Genomic DNA, 6,000 nt, shown 5'->3' on the forward strand with positions numbered 1-6,000 from the left:
AATTATCTCAGTATGTAGCTACATTTTATTATAAGGCATGAAAGTATGACTTAGAAAAAAACCATGCAAATTACAAGAAACATAAATCTACTTAGGGTACTAGGATTGGGGCATAAACAAAAAGAAGCATGTAAACCTTGGTGCCAAGCTTAATCAATTGATTGGTTGATTCGAGTATTCATTCTTTCAAAAAGCATTCACCTTTGCCCATTAGTTTCCAAGGAGTTGGAAAGGCACAGATTAACAGATTATAGTCCCAACTCATATTACAGGGTCATGCAGTACCACAAGAAAAGTAAGAAAATACAGTTTGAGTTGCCCAAAGGAAGGAAACTTGATTAGGTCCTGGATCAGGGTATGGTGGAGAGAATTTGGGAATTTGTTTTAGAGAAAGTGATGGTTATCTCTAGAAAGATGAATAGGCAGTTCCTAAGGTAGATTCCTTCAGGATGAAAGTATATTCAAAAGGCTGATGATACAAAAGAATAAGGCATGACTGGGATTCTCTGGAAGTTTAGTGTAGTGGAAGTTTAAGCTACAGGTAGGGTGGGGGCAAAGAAGTGAGACACAAAGTTGTCAGCTAAGTGGTTTCCAGACCTCAGGAATAGCTTCACACTCCACATTCAGGAATCTGTCTGCCATCTCATGCACCATGTGGAGCCTGAAAGGTGTGGAGCAAGAAGGAAGGGGGTGCAGGATTGGCAGTGGGATACAGCAATGTGATTGCTTAGAAGGCAATGAGCTCTCCTTGTCTAACAGTATCTTGAGACTCTGGGACCCTGTCCACTGCAGGTGACCCTGCTTCCCTCCTCTAAACAAGTGCTCTTGTTTGGTGGATTTGATTTAATTTTTGCAATAGAGGAGACACTTATTGCACTAGATCCAGTACCATATAAAATTTTGAATTAAAATAACCATTATAATTGATGTTACCATAGTATAAAAACTAAATTAATAAAATTATTTTTAGTAGACTGTACATGATATTTTCTTTTTTGATCATAGAATTTGAACAGGAATTTTGGCCTGGAATAGTAGAAAAGGATGTTGTGTGATGTATATTTGCACTGAAAACAGGTAAGTTTGTTTTTTTCATCAAATGTCAACTATTTGACTGTAAGTGTGCATTGAGTGTTCTGCTTCAAAAAATTAATTTGTAAAAAAAAAAATAGAAAGAATGCATAGAAGAAATCCAATCTACTTGCCAAGGATGGATGATTTCTACTGTGGATTTGTACTCTTGCTCTCAACTCCCTGAGAGCTTCCACGCTGGCTGTAGACCCCATCAATTCAGTTTTCAGTGGACAATTCAATACAAGGCTGCCTTTTGAGTTTTGGAATGGTTTCCAGTCCACATCGTGGTGATTTCTGTTGGTAGAATATCACTGAATACTGCTCTCAGAATCAGGCGAAACATACAGCAGGGCCAAGAACTTATGGGGAATTAGGTACCTGTAACATAGGTGATCCTGCGTATCATGATCTCAGAGCAGATGAAAAGGGAGTTGGGGGTGAATTATGGGTGCTGAGTTCTTTTCAGTGTGATTACCAAAGCCCCCTGCCAAAGTCTGCAATATCAAGGCCTTGCTAATGTCAGGTTTTATACGCTTTGGAAGTCACAGATTAGTTGGAAATTGCCATTTCTTATCAAATCAATTTGGATATTAGTTGGGAAAAGTCCTTTACGAAGTGCCTTTGTACTGGTCATGCCAAATGCCCATGGGATTAAACAGTTGCACATATATCTGGCTATATAGATATATGGATCCTGTATGTATAAACAAGAGATAAGGATCCTATATGTATAAACACAAATCCAGTTTTCAATTATCTTTGACAGAGTTGTGGCATAGCTAATACAAGTTATTTATCTTTGCACATAGTTCATATTAGATTAACTTCTGCATTCGTGGAGAAGGAAAAGCCTGCATTTGAATGCCAACACCTATATTGGTTCACTTGCTTTACTACTTCCCAGCTTTGTGATCTAAATGTCTTCATGTTAGAATTTCATCTGTGAAATATGATGTTTTGAAGGTTAAAAGTCATTAGGAAATTTTTTATTTTAATGAAACCTAATTTATTAGATTTTTCTTGTGTTGTGCTTTTGTGTTCTAAGACATTTTTGCCTAAACCAAGATCACAAAGATTTTTCTCCTAAATTTTATTCCAGAATTTTGCAGTTTTAGGTTTTAGGTCTATAATTCATTCCAAGTTCATTTCTGTATGTGGCACGAGGCAAGAATTAAGGTTTTAGTTTTGCTTTGTTTTGTTTCATGAAGTTGGTCATCTTTTCTGGCACCATTTATTGAAAATACTATCATTTCTCAATTAATTACCTTAAATTTTTTGTTGAAAATCAATCGACTGTCTATTCTATATCATTCGTCTATTCATTTATCTAATTTTACCTTGTCTAGATTACTGTAACTTATAGTAAGACCTGAAATTGGGTAGCATGAGTCAACTTGGCTCTTTAAAAAAATATTACTGGGTGGGTGTGGTGGCTCACGCCTGTAATCCCAGCACTTTGGGAGGCTGAGGTGTGTGGATCACCGAGGTCAGGAGTTCGAGATCAGCCTAACTCTACTAAAAATACAAAATTAACCAGGCGTGGTGGTGCAAGCCTATAATCCCAGCTACCAGGGAGGCTGAGGCTGGAGAATCACTTGAACCCGGGAGGCGCGGTGAGCCGAGATTGCGCCATTGCACTCCAGCCTGGGCAACAAGAGTGAAACTCCGTCTCAGAAACCAAAACCAAAACCAAAACCAAAACCAAAAACAAAATAGTATTAAGAAAATGAAAAGGGCTGGGAGGTGGCTTACACTTGAAATCCCAGCACTTTGGGAGGCCAAGGTCAGTGGATCGCTTTGAGCTCAGGAGTTCGAAACCAGCCTGCCCAACATGGTAAAACCCCATCTCTACAAAAAAAACAAAAAAAAACAAAAATTAGCTGGACCTTGGTGGCACGTGCCTGTAGTTCCAGCTACTTGAGAGGTTGAGGCTGAAGAATCACATGAGCCTAGGAGGTGGAGGCTGCAGTGAGCCGAAATCACACCACTGCAGTCCAGCCTGGGTGATTTAGTGAGACCCTGTCAAACAAAAAGAAAAAGAAAGGAAAAAGAAAAGATAAGCCACAGACAAGGAGAAAATATTTTCAAAGCACTCATACGATAAAGGGCTTGTAACCAGATTATCCAAACAATTCAGAACTCAGTAAGACAAACAGCCCAATTAAAAATGAGGAAAATATTTGTATAGAAGAGATAACAGATGGCAAACAAACATATGAGATGCTCACTATCATTGAACATTACAGAAATGCAAAAAAAATTATAAAATGAGATACCTCTACATACATGAATACCTAAAATTTAAAAAGACTGGCAATACCAAGTGCTGTCAAAGACACAGAGCAACTGCTGGAATGTTCATATATTGCAGGTGGGAATGTATGTATGCTTATATAAGATAAATGTTTTTCTCTCTTTTAATGCTTGGGGAAATTCTGTTTTGAACCCATTTGAGTCTAGAGTTTTCCTGTAGGTTCAATGTCTTTACAAATGTTCAATCAATCATATTTCCTATTTCTTCTTGTTAATTTGTTGATCTGTTTTTTTGTGTGCTTTTTTTTTTTTTTTTGAGACAAAGTCTCACTCTGTTTCCCAGGCTGGAGTGCAGCGGCACGATCTCAGCTCACTACAAGCTCCACCTCCCCAGTTCACACCATTCTCCTGCCTCAGTCTCCTGAGTAGCTGGGACTACAGGTGCCCGCCACCACATCTGGCTAATTTTTTGTATTTTTAGTAGAGATGGGGTTCCATTGTGTTAGCCAGGATGGTCTCGATCTCCTGACCTCATGATCCACCCACCTCGGCCTCCCAAATTGCTGGGATTACAGGCATGAGCCACCACTCCCAGCCATTTTTGTAGTTCTTTAGTAACTTGTCTACTTTATCTAAATTTTCAAATTTACTGGAATAACATTTTTACAATAGTCTCCTATTTTTATGAACTTATGAACTAATGATATCCAATTTTTTACTCTTGATATTAGAAATTTGTGCCTTACCTCTTTTTCTTTTTAAGAATTTTCAGATGGTTATCAATTTTATTTTCCTAATACCAAATTTTGGCTTGGTTAATTCTCTCTGTATTTGTTTTCTAATTAGTGTATTTCTGCTATTATTTATTTTATTTCTTTCCTTTTACTTTAATTAGGTTTATTTTGGAGTTCTTTCTAACTTCATAATATTTTTTCTTAGATTGTTAATGTTTGACTTTTAACCCTACCTTTTAAATAAATGCTTTTATATTGCTTTAATTGGATACAATGTTTTGTAATAGTGTTCATTCATTATTAAATTTAACATTTTCTAATTTTTCTCATTAATCTTTCCTTGACATATGAATTACCTAAAAATGTACTGCTTAAATTTCAAACATTTAAGAATTTTCTTTTTGTTGTTATGTTGCTTAATCTCACTCTGGTCTGTATAATTTCAACATTGAAATTTGTGAAATCTCACCTTATAATTCAGCATATAATCATTTTTTTAGGAAGTGTCACGTACACTTGAAAATAATTTGCATTCTGTATGTGCTGGGTGTAGTGTTCTACATACCTTAATCAGGTCATGTTTGACAATCATTTGTTTATGCATTATTTGTCTTTAACTGAGTTATTTTTTTCTGCAAGTTTCTCAAAGACGTATAGCCAACTCCCACATAGTCAAAAATCCACCTATAACTTCTAACTCTTCCCAAAGTTTAACTACTAATAACTTACTGTTGACTGGAAGCCTTATTGATAATATAAACAGTCGATTAACACACATTTTTTATGTTATTTGTATTACATATTGTAGTCTTACAAGAAAGCAAGCTAGAGAAAAGGAAATGCTATTAAGAAAATTATAAGGAAGAGGAAATATTCACTACTCGTAAAGTGAAATTGGATCCTCAAAAAGGTCTTCGTTCTCCTCATCTTTACAGTTGAGTAGGCTGAAGAGGAGGAGGACAAGGAAGGGTTGATCTTGGTGTCTCAGGGGTGGCAGAGGGGAAGAGGTGAGGAGATGAGGCAGGAGAGGCTGGGAAACTCCATGTCACTTTATGGAAATACATAATAATTTCTGTCTTTTTTGCTTTTTCATTTTTTTAAAAAATGTTTTTATACAGCACCATGGTTTACTTTAGTTTCACTGCCTGTATCATAGAAAGGTCTGTGTCATAAAAGAAGTCAAAAGCAGTCTTGACTCATTGGAATGCTCCTGCTGGATTGTCTAAGATCAGCTTGTTTCCTAGAATTGCTTCTGTTTTGTGGTCTTCTTCATCATCTGGCACCAAGTTGTCTTCTGTTAATTCCTCTGGTGTGGTGTGTATTAGCTCTTGACTTTCTCCAAGAAATCTTGAAATCTTTCACCCCATCCCCCCCAACCCTTTTTGCCATATCCACAATCTCTTTCATGATTTCCTTGATTGGCTCTCTCGTAAATCCTGTGAAGTCATGTGTAACATCTGGACACAGTTTTCTCCGGCAAGAATTTATTATTTCAGGCTTGATGGCTTTCACAGATTTTTCTATAACAACAATGACATCTTCAATGGTGTCATCTTTCCATACTTTCTTGATGTTCTCTCTCTCTAGGTTCTCTCCCATAGCTTTGACCATCCTTTCCATAGAGTACCATGTGTAATGAGAGTTAGAGGTCCTTTTTACTCCCTGATCTAGAGACTGAATTAGAGACATTAGGTTTGGGGACAAGTAGTCCACTTTGATGCCTTCAGTGTCAAAATCATGGGGTCCTGGGTGGTTGGGGCATTGCTCAATATCAAAATAACTTTAAGAGGAGTCCCTTACTGGCCAGGTACTTCCTGTCTTCAGGGACAAAGCATCAATGTAATAAATTCAGAAAAAGGGTTCTCATTGCCCAGGCCTTCCTGTATACAATCAAAAGACTGGCAGCTGGTGTTTCTTTTCCCTTCAAGACTCAAGGGTT

This window comes from Homo sapiens, chromosome 10 (assembly GCF_000001405.40).
Source record: "Homo sapiens chromosome 10, GRCh38.p14 Primary Assembly".
Lineage (NCBI taxonomy): Eukaryota > Metazoa > Chordata > Mammalia > Primates > Hominidae > Homo > Homo sapiens.